The sequence below is a fragment of the Homo sapiens genome, chromosome 13 (assembly GCF_000001405.40).
Source record: "Homo sapiens chromosome 13, GRCh38.p14 Primary Assembly".
Taxonomy (NCBI): domain Eukaryota; kingdom Metazoa; phylum Chordata; class Mammalia; order Primates; family Hominidae; genus Homo; species Homo sapiens.
In genome coordinates this window covers 35,097,978-35,118,635 of record NC_000013.11, presented here as the reverse complement: position 1 = coordinate 35,118,635, position 20,658 = coordinate 35,097,978, and the positions used below count along the sequence as shown (strand labels likewise).

Here is a 20,658-nt window from a genome sequence, read left to right as displayed (position 1 = left end):
TTTCCTGAGTATTCGAGGATCAATAGCAGCATTCTCCATTTATTCTCTTATGTGCAAGACTTTGCTATATTTATTCAAATATTCATAGAATAGCAGTTATTCTAGGAGGAACAACTGTGCTCCATTAAAGTCTAATAGTAATACTAATATTATAATCATACCTTATTCCATTTCTTTGATCAAATGCTGGTATCATTGAGGCTGGGTGTTCCGACATTAAAGCCACCAGTAACTGTAGCACATCATGAATATTTTCATCCTGCATAAATCACCAATGTTGATTTAAAATTTTACTCTAAAGATTGGCTTAAATAATTAAAATAAAAGGCCCATAACATGTCCTACCTCATGCATCGTAAGTAGGTAATTTAATATACTCTGAAGTTCATCTTCCTTGACCCCTCGATCCTAATTTTTAAAAAATATTTTATTACTTTACATCTAAAATTAAAATTTTAATTTAAAAAAGATGTCAAAATAATCATTGTAAAAGAAAATAAGAGTTAGTTTAATGTAGTGATATTTTAATTAAAATCCCCACACATTTCACAATTTATAGACTGTATTATTTCAAGTTAAGTAAATATTTAGAAAATTATATCAATTTTTAAAAGTCATTAGTATTTGATTGACATTCACTATAAAAAGTTAGCATATTTTGACCATCTAAGTATTCTTATGACTATTTTCTAATCACTTACTCTTTCCTTAAAACAATATAAATGCAAGACTATACAGTATCAATTTTTGTGTACTATCTCACAATTTATATTTATTTTCACTTTGGTTTCATCTTAACATTTAAAAAATTCTACTACAATAAAATACATTATGTAAGCCTTATTAAACTGGCACACAGATCATTTTCTCGAATAATGGTCAATTACTATAAGAATAAGGGCTCAATTCTTATTCATATGTTCCTTGTCCATTTCTGTCACATCCCTTAATAGGGAAGATTTCAGAGAGCATTTAATCAGAAGTTAGTTAAGTTCAATAAAAGTGAATACTAAGATGTGGAGAATTTTGAAAGCAATTCATGAATTAAAGGTAGCTATTACTAATTTAATAATTTTAAAACATGCCAGAAATTCCTTTCTACCTAATATACTATTATTTTAAATTATATAAAATTATTTTACCTTTAGTATCAGCTGTTTCAGAAAAAGTAGCATAAATGCCCTCAGTGATATAATTTCTTTTTGTGATGGCCGGGGACCATCTAGAACAAAACAGAAAAAAAAGTAAAATAAAAAATACAAGATATTAAATTAGCTAAATGCAATTATCTTGGGATACTATGGCATTCTTGAATAATTATCTTTATTAAAATTACAATATTTATATTAATGCTATAAAATTTTAATAATATATGAGTATCCAAAAATTAACTTTCAAATTTTTGACAATTTCAAATTATTTACTGAATGTCTGATTTTGTGGAAAAAAGAACTTTTTAAAAAGTTGTTATATATTAATATCCATTTATAAATGTATAATCCCCAAGTATTTATATTAATGCTTTTTTTTCTGTTTTTATTACATTAATAGGTTTCCCAATATGTCTTCCACTCTCAATTAAACTTGTCTTCATTTAAGGACTCTCTCCATTTTCACCCCACACATTATTTAACAAAGCACAGAAAAAATGACACTCTGTTTTATTGCAATTATTTGTTTTGCAGCCTATTTCTTCTATGTCACTTGTATACAGAAAATACATATTATAGTGGGCATTTATGCTGCGTCAATAAGTGAAAATGAGTATAAAATATTAAAATGTGCATATCAGTTCTATCATAACGTACAAATTTTAAAGTAATTTCAAAATATTTAATTACTAATAAAAATGAAAATATAATATATTCTAATATGCATAATATACAATACAGAATACTTTTAAAAAATGAAGCTAGATTCATAAAAATCCTGTAACATTAAGCCTTTCTTGTAGCAACCAGTATTTATCTACTGCTTTACAAGTTTTAAAAGCATAATCCCTTCATGTATAATGTATAGCATCTGCTTATTCACTTAATATTTACATGAAGATTATTATATCTGCAAGCAAGTTATTATCCAAAAAATCCATCCCGCCTATTATAATAAAAGAAATATCTTCCCTATTTCCCAGACTGCTCTCCACCTTTTATTGCCCCACTGCCACCAAGATGCACAAAGTACTCTTCCCCTCCTATTGACACTTGGTATTACTTTAAAAAAACTTTTCATTGTAAAATATTGCCAATGTACAGAAAACATACATGAACAACTTAACGAATTATCATGAAATGAACACCTGTATAAACACTTCTTTGGTCAAGAAATTGAACACTGACAGTAGCCTGACAGGGAAACCCGTCAACCATTGGTATGCTGGTAAAGGAATTATCTGCAGAGTGGAGGGATGAGGTCCTGATTTTGAGCATTTATGTACTTCTGATTTCTATCATATTAATAATAATCTGATTTCAAGTTCAAGCTACCAATGATTTAACAAGGTGCTCATAAAATTCCTGAATATCTAACAACTGATTGTGGTCCCATCCTGCCCTGCATGCCAAAGCCCTCACCATGCTCCAGACCTCAGCTCTGTGCCACATTGCTTTTCCTGACCACACCCACACTCCATTCAAGAACAGACAGATACCGTCTTAGTAATAATTTCCTTATTCTTCTATTTCTGCTACCAATTAATAAAATTGGACCAGTTTTATAACATCTCTGTGCCTTAGGTTTGTTTTCTTCTTTATTGTTAGGGTAAGAATAATAATACTGCTTGTCATAGGACATCTTGTGAGGATTAAATAGATCAACATATGTAAAGGAATTAGACTAGTACCAGGCCCATTTTAATCACAAGCACTCAAATGTTAGCAATAATTATTTTTATTGTATACTGCATAATATAAACAGCATGTTGCAAAGAAATATATACATATTTGTGTGCTTTGTGCATGATATAAATCCATTTCTGCAAAATAAAATACAAACGGATTTATCTAATATAAAATTGAATGAAGAAACAAATCCCCAAATAATACTATTTATGTAAACTATAGAAGCTAAACAATAAATTAGTAATACATACATAAATAGCAAGAGTAAAACATAGTAAAAAATAATAAGCACCCAAGTAAAGAAAAGAAATAACGTAAAATTTGGGACGGAGTTATTTCTATGACAGGGAGTAGAAAAGAGGTGTGAACACGCATGAGAATATTCAGGCTCATTGGTAATATTCTGTTTCTTAGGCTTAGTGATGTTTAAATAAGGTTCATTTTATATTTATATTTATAATTATAACTTGTTTATATATTACATCGATATATGTAATTATACCACTTTGTGTTCATGATGTATTCAAAATAAAGCTTTGAAACACCTATATGTATGCATGAGTAAGCTCATGTTTGTATGAGCAGAGAAAAAGCAGTAGAAAGATATACAAGACTGGTAACATTGGCTACCTGGGAGAGTAGTAACATTTTATTTATAAACCTTTGTATGATTTCACTTGCTACCATAAATATGTATTACCTGACCTATAATATTTTTAATATATCTCAATGCTTTTACACTTAACTATATATAATAATAATTTAAGAGACAAAAGTGTTAAGTTACAGTTAAAGCAAAAATATCCTACTTCTCAAGGCGAGTGCCTACACATGAATAGTTCTACGAAAGCTAGTGTAGTGCAAATTATCTTTAGAGTGTCCTTAAAAGAAAGCATTTGTTTAAAATGGTATTGAAAAATGCTGTCATTTAGAAAAGTATATACTTCAAGTCAGAACCTTACATTCTACTATATAACAAAATTAATTTCAAAGTATTAAAATGTTAAAGTAAAATAATAATTTAAATGATAAAGGAAAATAAATGCTGATTCCACTTTCCTGTCATTTTCATTTAAAATATATGTACTGGTACTCTTCCTTTCCTTCTCTTTGATGTAGCTAGAGCCAGTGAGGCCTCAGGGGCAAGGGTTCTATGGAGGGAGCAGAGGCCCTGGTGATACCCAGGGTCTTACAGAGCCAGAGCCAAGTGAGTCTGGAAGGACTTTCAGGGTCAGGGCCAAGGAGACAGTAGAGGTCAGGAGGGTGGCAGTGCCAAAGAAACAACTGGGGCTGAGGAGACAACAAGGGCCATTCAGAGTCAAATCTGAGGGTATGGTTACAGATGACTAGCAATGTTAAAGCTGAGAAGGTTATGCCGTGTGTATCAAAACACTGGTTTTATAAAGTAGAATAAGAAAATATATAAATATATTAAAGACAATAGGAGCAAGATTTCTCACTATTGAAGAAGAAAGCGGCAAATTTAAAAAGTTTGAGGCTAGGTTGAGCCATGTGGCTTTGGACTGGAATTGAAGGTACTGCTGTGAACTCATGGTTTTAATACAGATAAATCAGTTGAGATGTACCTATATACATAGATATAAACATCATTTCCTAGATCTGTCCACTAAAAGTACGTAGAAGCAATGACATTCAAAAACCAAGAAGCACACCTCACATCCACATCTTGGTTTCTAAAAACCATATCCACCAAACAAACCAGGGCTTCCTGGAAAAATGGCTAATTTCAGGGCGGGATAAGGAAAGTGTAGGACAAGTCAGAAACATCTTGTTTCAGAAAGTAAAATAGTATTAAAAACTTATGGGCATTTGTCCCATAATCCATGTGAAGGGTCCTACTGGCCAAATCTTGAGCATCGAAATAATGATACAACCCAGGAGACAGACAAACCACAGCCCTAGGACTAAATCCATGAAGCCACTTGTTTTTGTAAGTTTCACTAGAACAAGCCACACCTATTCGTTTACATACTGTCTGTGGTTATTTCTGCAATACAATGTCAGAGCTGACTATGTGCAACAGAGACCTTATGGCTCCGTAAGCCTAAAACACTATCTGGCCCTTTGCAAAGAAAGTATGCTAACTGTTGATATAACACATTGAATACATGAGTCCATACTGATATAAAAGATGATAGACAGACAGATAGATAGATAGATAGATAGATAGATAGATAGATAGATAGATGAGTGGAGGAGTAAAACAAGTTCTTCCTTACAGTAGATATGCCAACTTAATTAATGTCTTAGAAAATATCATTTGTCAGTCATCACAATAAAGATAATCTAGTAAGAATCATCAACAAACTAAAACAAGTAGGTGAAACTTTGTTGAAGAACAGGCTATTTATATAGTTTCAATGTATTTCTCCACCAAATACTTATTAATTACCAAAGAGAAAGGAGTGATTTTGTAATGAAGAAACCTGGAAGATAATACCTTAATCAAATGTTTAAAGTTAACATCACTTGTAAAAGGACAACTCAACATCATGTGCCTCCTTGACATGATACAAGGAGACAGATACAATATGACTTCTGTGTTATTTCTTGTAAAAATGAAAAAACCTGAATCATCATGAACAAACAGAAAATTCAAATTTAAGGTTATTCAAAAAAATAACTGGTCTGTATTATTCAAAAATGTCAAGGTCCTGAAAGACAAGGAAATACTAAAAAACTATCCTACATTGAAGAACATTAAAAGTAAGAATGCAACTAAGCACAACATACGATCCTCAACAGACTTAGGGCAAAATAATTTTCTTTTTCCTAGAAAGGACATTATTAGTGTAATTAGTGAAATTTGAATGGGGTCTCTGAATTAGATGATAGTATCATATTAATGCTAACTTCCTGATATTAATGGGTGTCCTCTGGTTATTTAACAAAGTGCCTTTACCTTTCAGGAAATACACAATAAAGTATTTAGAGGTGACAGAGTATCATGTCTACAATTTATTACCAATCGAATCAGAAAAAAAATGTGTATATATCTGTAGGTGTGTTTATATATACATAAAAAGAGAGCATGAGAGAATAGTAAAGGCTAAAGTGATAAGATGTAAAATATTGAGAATCTGGTGAGGGACATATGAGAATTCTTTGTGCAATGCTTGCAACTTTGTAACTTTTCTGTAAATTAGAAATTAATATTTTAAGGCAGAAATTATTATGTGTGAATATATGATTTGTTTAGACTAGAGAAAACTCTATCATAGTGTAGCATTTAAGAACTAGGTCTCTGAGTCAGATGGATATGATTCAAATTTTGGTGCTGTTCGGTTTGTACCAACTTCCAGTTTCCTAATCTTTAAAATGAGGATAATATCAAAAACAAAGTTATATATAGATGCAGTCTTATGTATGTATATGAATATGTCTATTTATCTATAATTACATTATATGTATTATTAAACAAATTAACATGTAGAGTGCTTGGCAGAAAAATCCAATAAATTTTAGGCATTACTAACTTAAAAGCAATGGAAGAAGCCATAAAAGGACAAAACAACAGATCTGAGTATAAATAACTTCTAAAGCCCCATTAATAAAAAGAAATAAAAGTAAGCTTATATAAATATTAGAATAGTAAAATGGGAGGCCGAGTCAGGTGTATCACGAGGTCAGGAGATCAACACCATCCTGGCTAACACGGTGAAACCCTGTCTCCACTAAAAATATAAAAAAATTAGCCGGGCGTGCTGGCAGGCGCCTGTAGTCCCAGCTACTCGGGAGGCTGAGGCAGGAGAACGGCATGAACCCGGGAGGCAGAGCTTGCAGTGAGCTGAGATAGCACCACTGCACTCCAGCCTGGGTGACAGAGCAAGACTCCGTCTCAAAAAAAAAAAAAAAAAAAAAGGAAAGTGTTATTTTTCCTTATCAACGGGATTATTATAAAACTATAATATTCAATGCTATTGTGAGCACGCAAAAGGAAGTACTCTAACATATACTGGTAAAACTGTAAAATAATATGACATTCCTGAAAAAAATTTAAAATATTTGTCATTAGCCCCTTTCTCAGTAATTTTAAACAAATCAAAGATGGAGGTAAACACATATATAAATGAGAGAATGCTCTAACATTTACAGAATCAAAACTTTAGAAACGATGTAAATGGTACATCCCCTTACATTACTACATTGAGCTGAGAAAAGAACAACATAGAAAAATTGAGAAAATCTCAATCTATAATTAAAAAGTTTAAATATTTTTATATATGTATGCAATGAGAAACACTGGAAGAAAACATGCCAAAATCATATCAGTAATTATTCTTGGGGTTTGGGTCATAAATATATTTTTTCTTCTGTATTATTTTATTTTCTATATTTTTTGTATAATTAGAAAAACTGGCTATATTTTCAAAAAAAAAATCACAGTGAAGAATTAGTTTCCATTATAGTCAGAACAAAGGATAAATTTGGAATAAAATATAAAAAATTAACAATCTGAAAATGTTGAAAGCAACTGATGTACTAGAACACACCAGTTATAACCAATATCATTTATCTGTTTTTAATATTATGAATGTATCTTCCTGAATGAAAAAAAAGCATACAGGCTAAAATAAAGACTATTGTTGCTTTTTAACTGATTTTATTCCGAAATAATTTAATATTGAAAAGCCCTAAACTTCTTTACCACAAACAATTCTCAATATGCCAGTTTGCTATATAAGAAAGAAAACATTTCAGTGATTTCATAGTCATGTACACTGCTCACTTTAACAGTACTCAGAATACAGAATAATCATAGGCAAATGTAAATACAGTGGAAGTGGTATACATACCTAATCCTTTAGGTGTAATGCCACTACTGTCAGCAGGATTAATAACCCAGTAGTAATATTTTAAGGTGTGCATTAGCTGTAATACTGTTCCTACTCTGCGTATGGTGGTGTAGATGGTAGCAGTTCCAATAAATTCAGCAGACAAATATGTGTATAGGGAAAGCTGAACCTAATACAGAATATTAACAGATCATTAAAATGAATTTAAAATGCCTCAAGTGCTCATATTATATACATTCAGTTTTAATTTAAATGTGAATTAGTAAAGACCAAGAAATGACCATTTATTATGAGGTTAAAAATAACTTTCTTCTTCAATATTATTTATATTTAAAAAATATATAATCTGCAATTAACATATTCTAATAAACTCATAATAGAGGTAGTCCAACAGCTGTGGCAATTAAATAATTTTAAAATGATTTAATAATTTATTGAAATTAATCTGATAAAAAGATTAAAATATTTTAAAAGTCAACTAAAGCTCTTAAAGTACATTTCAGTAGCTTTCAATGTAAAAATTTCTTCATAGCAATAGAACATCAGTCAGCTAAAGCATATCTGAAAACATACATATTTTTGTCATATATCCTAAAAGTTCATGCAATTTCAAATTCTCCTCACCTATGGCCATAACATATAGTTCGCTTTCACAATCTGACCATGTGAGCATAGAGATGGCATGTCAGACACCTTGGTTAAAAGAGTTGTCAAAGATGATGAGCATTTCTTCATGTGTTTTTTGGCTGCATAAATGTCTTCTTTCGGGGGAGGGGGGAGGGATAGCATTGGGAGATATACCTAATGCTAGATGACACGTTAGTGGGTGCAGCGCACCAGCATGGCACATGTATACATATGTAACTAACCTGCACAATGTGCACATGTACCCTAAAACTTAGAGTATAATAAAAAAAAAAAACATTTAAAAAAAAAAAAAAAAAAGAGTTGTCAAAATTCAGATTTGGGCTTAGGCAATAATTAATAACTCGGTGAGATATTTTTAAACTATAAAAGATAGCTCAAAATCAAAATATCCCTCATTATTGATTTCAACTAGGACTAAATCCTTGTATATAAAACAATAAGAATTTTCTGTTATTATCTGGAAAATATTTAATTCATGTATATATTTATTTTTAAATTAGTATTATTTACATGTCATGATATAAATTCTACCTTCAAAATGAAAGCAATTTTCCAGCAAAATGATTACAGTCATAATACAATTAGTTATCTGTTCTCTTTCCTAGTCTTTCAAAAATTGGTATAGCAAATTTTCTTCATTGAAAAGTAAGTATCACATCTAAAGATGTTAGAATGCAGTGTTACACAAAGATTCTTTTTTACCTATTGTTTCATTTATTTTACTGCTTATAAATATTTTGATCTCCTGATACTGCCTAACACAATTGCCACAGATTAACTATAAAATAAGCTAAAATGTTCAAATGTTTTCCACTGAATACTATAGATCCAGCAACTATAATGTATAACATTACACTAAATCAAACTGAATAAGTATAAAATTCATACCTTTGCAGGTGTATGTATCCAGATGGCTGGGTTAAATAAAATGTGATCACAAAGCTGCTTCAGCAAAGGTGCTCCATGAGATAAACCATCAAGGTATTTTGCAAAAGATAAAAATTGCTCCAGGACAGCTCTAGTTATATGAACTCTTGATGACTAAGAAAGAAAACAGAAATTCTAGCTTGAAACATCCAGAATATCAAATTGTATAATTTCTGATTTAGCATAAGGACACATGAATTTTTCATATGCTATCCCTAATAAATATGAAATAAACATTTGTTTTCTTTGCTATTAAAATATAACTTTAAGAGATCTAAAATTTCAGCTATTTCTTTGAGTGATAGCTTGTTATTTGAAGCCTGATCTAAGACAATTACAGATAAATAATTCAAGTTAAATAATTCTACTATTAGCTAAAGAAATGAAATGTTATAAATAATGGCTTCATTTCATTTTTTGTAGAAATTGACATACAAGAAGAGATCTTAGACATAGAAATAAAAAGTGATAGTGTTTAAAATATGTAAAAATACTGCTTAAAAATATGTAAAATACTGCTTAAAATATTATTTCCTTGGCCTTCTCTTCTCCATAAATACTCTATCCTTGGATGATATAGTATGCTTTCACAGCTTCATATAACACTATGTCTATGCTGAACACTCGCTTCAAGAATTTTCAACTACTATCACCATGTACCTATTACCAATGGTATTTAAACAACAGACTCTCCAAAATTGAAACCAAACCTTAAAGCTGCACCATCTCATACAGTAGCCAGAAGCCCTATGTGGCCATTGAGCTGCTGGAATATTGCAATTGAAAGTGAGATGTGTCATAAGTATGAAAAAACTGGGTTTTTCCAGCTCAGAATATTTTTAAAAATCATATTTTCTTATTGAATAGATGTTGAAATAATATATTGCATATTATCAAAATAAAATACTAGGCTAAATACGTTATTAAAATTAATACCACCTGTATTTTTTTACTAGAAAATATTAAATTGCACCTGAGGCTTGAATTGTAATTTAATTGGACAATGCTATACTAGAATACAATTTCAGATAAAAATGCTATAATATTAAAAAAATGCTCTTCATAAAAGCTGATAATTCAAACTCAAATATCAAAAAATTTATCTTCCTACATAAATCTTTTCTTCCTCATCTAGTGATACTATTTTGTAGTATCACTATCCTTTCAGTCATAGGGTAAAGAATCACCTATCACTCAATCCTGAAGCACACATCACACAACACATCTTTCCTCGCTATTCTTCACTAACTGAAGTCTGAATATCAGTTTAAAACAATCTAAGTTTAAAAGGGATGAAATTGTCTTACCAATTTTACCTCCCATATGATTTAGCTACATTTTTCATGCTCATAATAAGGATAACTCAATATATTTGACTTAAGCACTTCATGAATTTTCACACTTCTACATAAACGGTCACGAACTAAAATGATTGCAAATAACTAACAACAATGTGTAAACTAGAGTAGGAGACAATAAAGATTGGTGAGGACCAAAACTAACCTCTTTGCTGAGTCCTACAGAATATTACTGTGGGCCAATTTCACCCACAGGACACGTTTGCTTCCCTGCTTTACCATGTTGCTCCCCCAGTTTGTAACACCCTTGCATACATTTCCTTTACCTTAAAGGTAGAACTCAAGACTTTTAGTCATTTAGAAAATATACATGTTGATTACTCACTATTAGTCAAATATGCTCCCTGGCACTGTCAAAAAAGCAGCTAGCAAAATTGAAGAAAAAAACTCTTCCTCACAGAACATATTCTAAGAGATGATAAGGCAGGAACACATAGTTAATAAAATAAAAAGGTAAAATATGTAAAATGTTAGAGGTTACTAAGTTCATGGAAGAAACTATGGGGCAGATAAAACATTTGCAGAAGGATGGTTAACAGGTTTTACTAAGAAGGGGGCCACTTAATTGGTTCAAATTATTATAAGGTTAAAAATGATTTAGTATTAATATAATAGAATTATGTGTCTGACAAAATTACCAATGGTGCTTACTACATAAGCAATAGCCTACAAAATTCAAACCAAACCTTAGTACATAATTTTCAATGAAAATTTTACAGAAGATGGTGGAAATGATCTAAATAAATAGCTGAGTTAATAAAGGGGGGGGAACCAAAACAAGTATTTGAGTTTAAAAAGTAAAGATCGGGTAATCATATTTAAAGGAATATCAATGAAAATAATATAGTACTTTAAAAAATATTTGTAAAGGGATGAAATTAAAATAAGAGATCACTAGTTATTTAAAACTGTAGCCAGCTCCTTCACTAATTATAATTTCACATAGCTTATCTTATACATTCTATTTTTATTCAGTAGTAATGATTTCAAGAACATGATCTGATACATTCTACTCTTACACTTAAAACTCTAAAATAGAATACAGTCAGATCCTGTTACTAGATAAACATGCTAGGTGACCAGACTGTAGCTCATAAAAATTATTCATCATGTCCTCATGAAGAACATTAACCCATATTATAAAATCAGGCTGACCATTATAAACATATCCACTTGATGAATTCATAATATAGAAACAAGTTTGGAACTTGGACCATGATATTAAAAGGTATACTAGAAGCATCACAAGGCCTTCTACATTACTTTAAAAAAAAAAGGCGGAGGGGGCCATTGTTTTCGCATACCAATTAATGCTGTTGGGTAGCAGATTTGCATTCTAAAATTATTCTTTGGAAAATATTTTTCTAAAATTGTGTCTTTTTATTGACCTACTCAAAATCCTACAATTTTGGATTGTAAATAGTATATAAATGCATAAATGAATATTCTCTTCAACAGCATGTTACCTTTACCTCTTAGTAGTACTTATCTTTCCTCCTTGTATTATTGTTAGTGTAAAAAAGAAATCTCTTTCCTAATATAAGAAAGGATATTATCTTATTCATCTTTTATCCTCCTGATCCCTACCCTAATTTCTCAGGAAATGTTTAACTGAATTAATGTCAAATTCAAAAACAGTAAGAATAGAATAGGTAGGAAAAAACACAGCCTGGGAAAAGAAGAAAGAAGATCTCTGACTCTGCTTTTAAATGTATTTCCTTTGATTAACGGTTTTAAAATATTTTTATATTTTGGTATTTGTTTTCATTTTCTCAAGTAAAGCTATTTTAGAAAGAGATCTATACTTGGATAATTTATAGTTATAAATCTGTAACCTTTAGATGGAAATACAATTTAAATCTTACAGAAAATGTAAGCTCTGGAATTTGATCTATATATTACTTTCATGTGGTGGCAGAATACATAATTTTTAAGAAGTACTATATGTGACATGGCTAACCATATTTGGAAATAATATCTAAGAAGTTATACAAATAGTTGCGTTATAGCATCCACTCCAGAATTAACTAAACCAAATAGGAGCACTAGAGGTTACAAAGAGAAACTTCTATTCAATAAAGAGAGATTGTTCCAACATTTAGATTAGCCCATAATAGAACAGGTTATCAGAAATGTTCATTTTTATTGTAGAAAGCATAATATACACACACACATATACATATAATGTGTATGAGTATATATTCAATAAATTGTGTAAAACTATTGTAATTGTAGAGGTACCTTATAGTCTATTATCCATTCTGCTCCTCCCAGGACTCCAAGGTTGTGCTCCAAATAGCCTAATCCAACCAGATTAATCATGTGTTGTTGTTTTGGTAGGGAGTGGAGGGGAGGGTGGCAGGCAATGATCAGCTCAGAGATTCAGTATCAAAGTTTAGCATTCTCATAGCAACAACTGGTTCAAAGGTAGGCTAGCCAAGCTCTAAGCTAACCAATCAAATTGGAGAGAAGAATCTTGCTCAGTAATTGACAGAAATGAGCTCGCTTTCTTCACCTGGATGTGAAGGTCTATAGCGCCAATTCTCTCTGGCAGCCTTGTGACCTCAAAGAGTATCAGCTTTAGCATAAAATCAACACTGTAGCTGGTACAGCAGAGATATAGATAAAACCTGGGTCTCTGATGACATTATTGAGACTTAGATAACCCAGCCCTGAAACACAACTTACTGTTTGCTGCTTTTCCAACCTTTTGCTGCCTTTCCAACCTTCCCTGTCCTATTTTTATGCTTGGGATGCTCCCTTGCCTACTGGTTTCCAGTTGGGTTTGACTAATTGAAGACATTAGCAAGAAATTAAAGGACAGAAAGAAAATGAAGTTGGGTATATATTTTCCAGATTTTACCCCTTCAGTACACTTACACTATACTCCTTTCTTGAAGACCACGCTCCCATCAGGTACCCTTCTCCTAATAGCTACAATAACTTTCTCTTTGGGTTATGCTAAACACTTATTTCCCTCATCTCTTCAAATCTTGCCAAGCTCCCTGCTTACAACTTTTTAAATACCCTTGCATTAAAGTCTTCTCAAAAACCTAGGTTGAGTATGCCATCTGTTCCCTGCCAAGAATATAACTGATATGCCATCTAACACTAGGCTTTCAGTTACATCAGTTAGTATATTTTCCTAATGTTTAAGATACTTTGAATCAAATTTTCTACTAACCACAATCAAAAATATCCTATTGAATACGCTGGATAACCTCTAAGTTTCCCACAAGATCACATTTTGGCAAAACAGAACAAAAACACCTAAAAATTTTTTCGTGGAACAGTAAAATTGTTATTAATAAAAAGGCCTCTCATATACTATCTTCCTAAGACATCTTCTATGACAAGGAGATATAAAAGCTAAGTGGCAGTTAACCAGTAACCTGTTATTAGTTAAGAAATTAAAAAATGAAACTTCTATTACCTATACTATTAATACTAACCTTGCCAGTGATTATTTAAAAATAACAAAATGTGAGCACTCCTCCAAGAAAGGTAAAAAAGTTACTCTTTGCAGGTAATCAGACAAGCATACAAGGACTTTTCATATACTCAATTCAACAACCATTTACTGAGCTAAGCACTGTTCTAGGTGCTGAAGATACAGCAATAAGGGGAGACAAAAATATATATACATTGCCCCTGCTTTCATAAAGCCTACATTCTAGCAGAAGGAGGCAGAAAATTAGTAAAAAATATAAAACATGCCAGAATGGTGCTGCAAAATTAGCAGCATAGGTAAACACTGATGGTTATGGAAGGAATACTAATTTATTTAGAATGATCGGAGAATATTTCTGTGATAAGGCATCATATAAGCAAAATCCTGAATGAAGCATAGAATCAAAGTCTGTGAGTATCTGAAGAAAGAGTGATGGAAACAATGGGGGAAGTAAATGCAAAAGTCCTTGGGTAAATGTTTACCATTTTAGTTCTTAAGGAAAAGGCAAAAAGACCTTTGCCTAAAATAGAGAAAGCAAGAAGAGTGGGAAGAGATGAAGTGAGGTATAAGGCTTATGACTTCATTATGAGAAGGATGAAGACTTGAATAAGATTTGGCACATTTTAGGATAACTAGTCTAACTGCAAGTGAAAAATGGATTGTAGGTAACCAATGGTGAAGGATGATCATGGTTTGAACTAAGATGATATCAACTGACATGGTAAGGAGCTGAGAAGTAAAGAGGAAGTAGTAATTGATTCTGGATACATTTTGACAGTAAGACAACATAATTTCCTGAGTTTGGATCTAGAGCGCAAAAAAAGTAGAGTCAAAAAGAATTAACTTTTTGGTTTCAACTACTTGTTGAATAGTAATGCCACTAAATAAGATAAAGAACTCTGAAGGATGAAAAATTAAGAGAAAAATCAGTTTGGATAATTTAGTCAAGAAGATTACCAGAAATCCAAGTGGAACTAAAAATAGGAGAAACAATTGAGAGTAATTAGTATTTACAGGATCATGGAAACTGTAGAAGTGGATAATCTCAATTAGAGTAAGGTACTGTGTAGATGGAAAAGTGAAACGCTTTCCAGGATTAATCACTGGGACAGAACAGTCATCAGAATTTAGAAAGATGAAGCAGAACTAATGAGAGAGAATAAGTAAGAAAAAAAAAAAGCAAGCCATCACAAAACACAATGCAAGAAAGCATTTCAAGAAGGAAAGAATGTTCAACTGAAATATTCACAGGTCAAATAAGATAAGAACTGAGAAATAATCACAGGACAGATTATGAAGGCCACTGGTGACAAAGACATGAGCCATCTTAAAGGACATGTAAGAATGAAAACCAGGTTGGAATAGGAGTAGGTTTAGGAGTAAACGAGAGTCCAGGAATATAAGGAAGGTTTAAAATCTGAAAAATAATCCATGTAATTGACTAAATTAAGAAAAATAAAGAAACATCTTAATCATCTCAAGTACTACAGAAAAGATGTTATATAAAATCCTGTTTATAATAAAGAAAACTCTTAGGAAACCAGAAATAGATAATTCCTTAATTTAACTAAAAAATCCACACAAAGTAATCTATTAAAAATATCATACTTAGTGTAATTATTAAAAGCATTGCCCATGAGATCAGGAATAAGACAGGGATGGCCACTATCACAACTTTTATCCCAACACTGTACTGGCACTTTTTAGGTGGCATAACAAGGCAAGGAAAAAAACCCTAAAATTAGAAAGGAAAAAAACAAAACTATCATTCTCCAATGTTATTATTGTCTACAAAAATTTTTCTGAAAAAATCTACAAATGACTAGATTTAATAGAGGAACAGAAAGACTGGTATATAAAAGTTCAACATAAATATCAATTATAATTCTATGTACCAGTAACAAAAATCAAAACTTTTAATTGCTTCTTGGCCTTTTGGGTAAGATCAAGTGTAAAATATTAAAATTTTAAGGGCATCAAATAATATCAAATACCTGGAAATAAATCCATCAAAAAGACAGAAACTGTTCCATACAGAAAAGTACAAAAGAAAATCTCAATTAGTAAAAGAATATACCAAGTATATAACCTGAAAGATTCAATATAGGAAAGATGTCAATATAATACAATAAAAATCCTCATGTTTTTTGGTGGAAGTTGATAAGCTGATATATATATATGGAAATGGAAAGACCCAAAAACAGCCAAGGCAATCTTCAAGAACAACAGTAAAGCTAGATGACATACTCTTAAATATCAGGCCATACTAAAAAGCTATACAAATTAAAATACTGTTGTACTGTCTGAAACACACAAAAAAAATCCCAGTCATACATGGTCATCTGATTTATGGCAAAGATTAGACTGCAATGCAGTGGGAAATCATCTTTTCAAAAAATGGTACTGGGCCAGCTAGATGACATACATGGGGGAAAAAAAGAACCTTGACCCTTATACCTCATACCATATACAAAATTCAATTCTAGATAGATTATAGAAAAAAAGAACCTTGACCCTTATACCTCATACCATATACAAAATTCAATTCCAGATAGATTATAGATCTAAATATGAAAGATAAAACAAAATTTTAAGAAGGAAACAGAATAATCTTATGGCTTCAGGATATGGGTCTAAAATGGGCTAGTCATAAAAGAAACTGAAAATTTTAACCTATATTAAAATTAGTAACTTGTTTATCAAAAATCACCATTAAGAGAGTGAAAAGTCACACCAAAGAAGAAGAGATAATTTGCAGTGTATATCCAATGAAGTAATCACATCCAAAATACATATATGATTTCCACAAATCAGTAACAAAATGACAGACAACCCAAATGAAAATTGGCACTCTAAAGAGGTATTTAACAAAAGAAGATATCCCAAAGGAAAATAAATATATGTTCAACTTTATTGTCATCAAGGAAATACAAATTAATGTGATCCAAAGAATGGAGAAATATATTTGTTAATCATCCGTCTATTAAGGGACTAGTATCCAGAATATTAAAAAAAAACTCCTACAAATCAATAATAAGACACATATCACAATTATTAAATGGGCAAAGGATCTAAAGATATTTCTTCAAAGAATATATATCAATAAATAGCTAATAAGCACATGAAAATAGACAACAAGCATATGAAAAGATATTCAGCATCACTAGTCATCCCAAAAATGCAAATTTAAAATTGATAAGCCATTTCACACCCACTAGGAGGGTCAGAATCAAAAAGACATACAAAACAAGAGTTGGTAAGGATGTGGAAAAAATGGAACTCTTAAATATGGTTGGTAGGATGTAAAATGCTGGAGTCACTTTGAAAAACATCAATAGTTTCTCAAATAAACATAGGACCCAGCAAATTAACTCCTAGGTATCTACTGAACAGAAATAAAAACATATGTCCACATATAACCTAGCACATGAACATTCATGGCAGCTTTATTCATAATAGCCAAAAGATAGAAACAACACAAATGTATATCAACTGATGAATGGAGAAGCAAAATGTATATACATCTAATGGAATACTATTTAGCTGTAAAAAAGAACGGAGTTCTAAAATATGCTATAACATGGATGCACACTGAAAACATTATGCTAAGCAAAATGGACCAAATACAAAAAGACAAATATTGTATGATCTCACTTATGTGAAATATTTAGAATAAGCAATTCATAAAGCCAAAAAGTGAATTATGGGTTGACTAGGGGTGGGAATCATGAAGAGACATAGGGAATACTGGTAAAGGAAATGAATAACAAAGAAGATAAAAGATTAATTTTCTATAATTATATATGAAAATGTCTAATCTTATTCGAAATCTAGGAAAAGTGCAAATTAAAACCACAATGAAATATTTTGCATCCACTAAATTGACATTATAATATTTGAAATATTAACATATGTCTTTATTTGAAGGCTTTTACAAATATTTCTAATTATAAGCTAAGTTTTAAGTAAAAGAATATTTACTTTAGAATTTTCTGATACATTCTCATCAAACAAATGAAAGCAAATTATTTAACGGGGTAAGTCCTCACAGAAATCCTGTCACACACAGTAATCTTACAAAGGCATTTCATATGTTATCAAATTCATGTTAAATGTAGCTTATCATACATCTTCTAAACAAATATTATACTCTAGATACAGAAAAAGAGTATTCTGTCATTCAAAAAAATAAGCCAAAGGACCTTAAGTTCTTAATAATGTTATGGAAAAAATCATCTTAATAAAGAAATGCTACCAATGATCAATCTACTTAACAATCTACCACTTTTCAATCATTAATCCTTAAAGAAAGGTCAACACTTGTTTCAAAGAAAAGACATGTTATATACACAATATGTATAAAGACATGTAATATATAAAATATAGCATATTTTAGAACTTGATTATTTTTGTGACTAAATAATATTCAATTGATGTATATACCACATTTTGTTTATCCATTAATCAATTGATAATATTTCAAATGTAAAACAATTGGAGGTAAAATTAAAACTACTTCAAAATATCTTCTCAATTTTTTTGCAAAGGAAATATGTTTATCCCTTAGTTGAGATCTCACTTCTATTACTTCTCCAACAGTTTCATTTTCAGAGCAGCTGAATATTATAGAGTTAACTAACTGATAAGAAAAGGTCAGAGAGTGCTAATAAAAGACATAGGTATTTGTTATAAAAAAACGCTTATTCATGAAATCCCACTTTAATTTTCAAAGGAAATCACATAATACAACTAAACTCCTGTGAGATCATAATCAGAAATTCAGCACTCATCATAAAAGCACAGCTTTGACTAAAGCAAAAGAGGTCATAAAACAACATAAATGACACAAAATGGGAAAAAGTAAACCCATCTAATTTTTATTGTTTATATTATGCGTAGATCAGAAAAACTACTTTAAATAATATATATTAAGAGCAGGGAAAAAGAGCACAAAATAATGTTTCTATTACCACAAAATAAAAATTTTGACCGCATAATTAAAAAATAACACAAAACTTAACAGGTAAATTCATGTATACTAAATATAGATTAAGATTTTTATCTTAATAAAAAAGACTTTCGAGATACAGTCTAAGGCCAGGCGCGGTGGTTCATGCCTGTAATCCCAGCACGCTGGGAGTCCAAGGCGGGCAGATCACTTGAGGCCAGGAGTTCAAGACCATCCTGGCTAATACGGTGAAACCCTGTCTCTACTAAAAATACAAAAAATTAGCCGGGCATGGTGGTGGGCGCCTGTAGTTCCAGCTACCTGGGAGGCTGAGGCAGGAGAATGGCGTGAACCTGGGAGGCGGAGCTTGCAGTGAGCCGAGATTGAGCCAGTGCACTCCAGCCTGGGTGACAAAGCAAGACTCCATCTCAAAAAAAAAAAAAAAAAACTTTAGCCAGGCATGGTGGTGCGCGCCTGTGATCCCAGACACTCGGGAGGCTGAGGCAGGAGAATCGCTTGATCGAACTCAGGAGATGGGGGTTGCAGTGAGCCAAGATCATGCCACTGCACTCCACTGTGGGAGACAGAGTGAGACACTGTCTCAAAAAAAAAAAAAAAAAAGTCTAAGTGAAAAGATAGCAAAGAAACAACTACAGTACTCCCTCCTTATCCTGACGCGATAGTTCCAAGACCCCTAGTGGATAATAAATACGATTTTCAGTCCGAGAACTGAGATAGCTACTAAATAACTAATGGAGAGACAGTGTATACAGCATGAAAAAGCTGAACAAAAGGAGGATTCATGTCCAGGGCTTGATGAAGAGGGACAGCATGAGATTTCATCACTCTCCTCAGAACAGCACACAATTTAGAAAGTTATAAATGGTTTATTCCATGCTATTTTTGAACTGCAGTTGACCATGGGTAAGTGACACCTTAGAAAGTGAGAGTAGAAATAAAGGGGGTACTACTTAGAAAACTTAAGAGAAATGATACTTATTGCTTGAATAGATATAGATGTAAATTTTTTATTTAGATTTTTTTATTCAAAATTTCTTAATTACACTTCCGATACCCAGTTAATTCCATGTCTACACTTAAATCTAAGACGTTTGTGAATTAGCAAATAGTATAATCTCTACACAGTCAATGGAAAGTGAAATTACAGAAAAAAAAATTAGTGATTAACAGCTGTCCAACTGTGAAGCTACACAATAAAACCATCAACACATATCACTTACCTTTTCAAGTAAGTAGCCAATGACTAAAAAGCCTTTTCCACCCAGCATCTGTTCTTGCATGGCTACTGAACTTTTAAGTAGTTCAACCAGGAATGCCAACAGAGTAGCACTGCATGTAAAGTACAGACATCATTATGTAATCATCACATGTTTATTATAAACAGTGTCCCACTTCAGTATTTTATTATGCCAAAAGATAACCATATTCAAATCTCATCTCTATTTTACTGACAATGACTATTATGCCTTATATTATGAAAGAATATATTTCCTCATAAGCATGAGAAAACTACTGTTGTCCTTTACAAATTAAATATAATAAACTGAATCATAACTGTGTAGTTTTTTTACATTCCAAAGTAAAACATCAAAGTTTATCTCTACGTATATTTATATGTCTGGCTTCAAGTAAACCTAAGAAACATATA

At 31.4% G+C, this 20,658-nt stretch overlaps 1 protein-coding gene across 13 annotated transcripts in view; it reads right to left on the bottom strand.

Annotated features, from left to right (window-relative positions):
- The window catches only part of NBEA (neurobeachin), a 730,467-nt gene that overhangs the window by 554,101 nt on the left and 155,708 nt on the right, over nucleotides 1–20,658 (bottom strand). For all 13 annotated transcript variants that reach the window (XM_047430271.1, NM_001385012.1, XM_006719803.4 and 10 more), the window contains 6 exons: nucleotides 20,231–20,339; nucleotides 9,194–9,346; nucleotides 7,658–7,826; nucleotides 1,143–1,222; nucleotides 346–408; nucleotides 162–259 (listed from right to left, as the gene is read on the bottom strand). In XM_047430271.1, coding sequence (XP_047286227.1) covers nucleotides 162–259; nucleotides 346–408; nucleotides 1,143–1,222; nucleotides 7,658–7,826; nucleotides 9,194–9,346; nucleotides 20,231–20,339 — 672 coding nt within the window. The remainder of the gene's footprint in view (nucleotides 1–161; nucleotides 260–345; nucleotides 409–1,142; nucleotides 1,223–7,657; nucleotides 7,827–9,193; nucleotides 9,347–20,230; nucleotides 20,340–20,658) is intronic.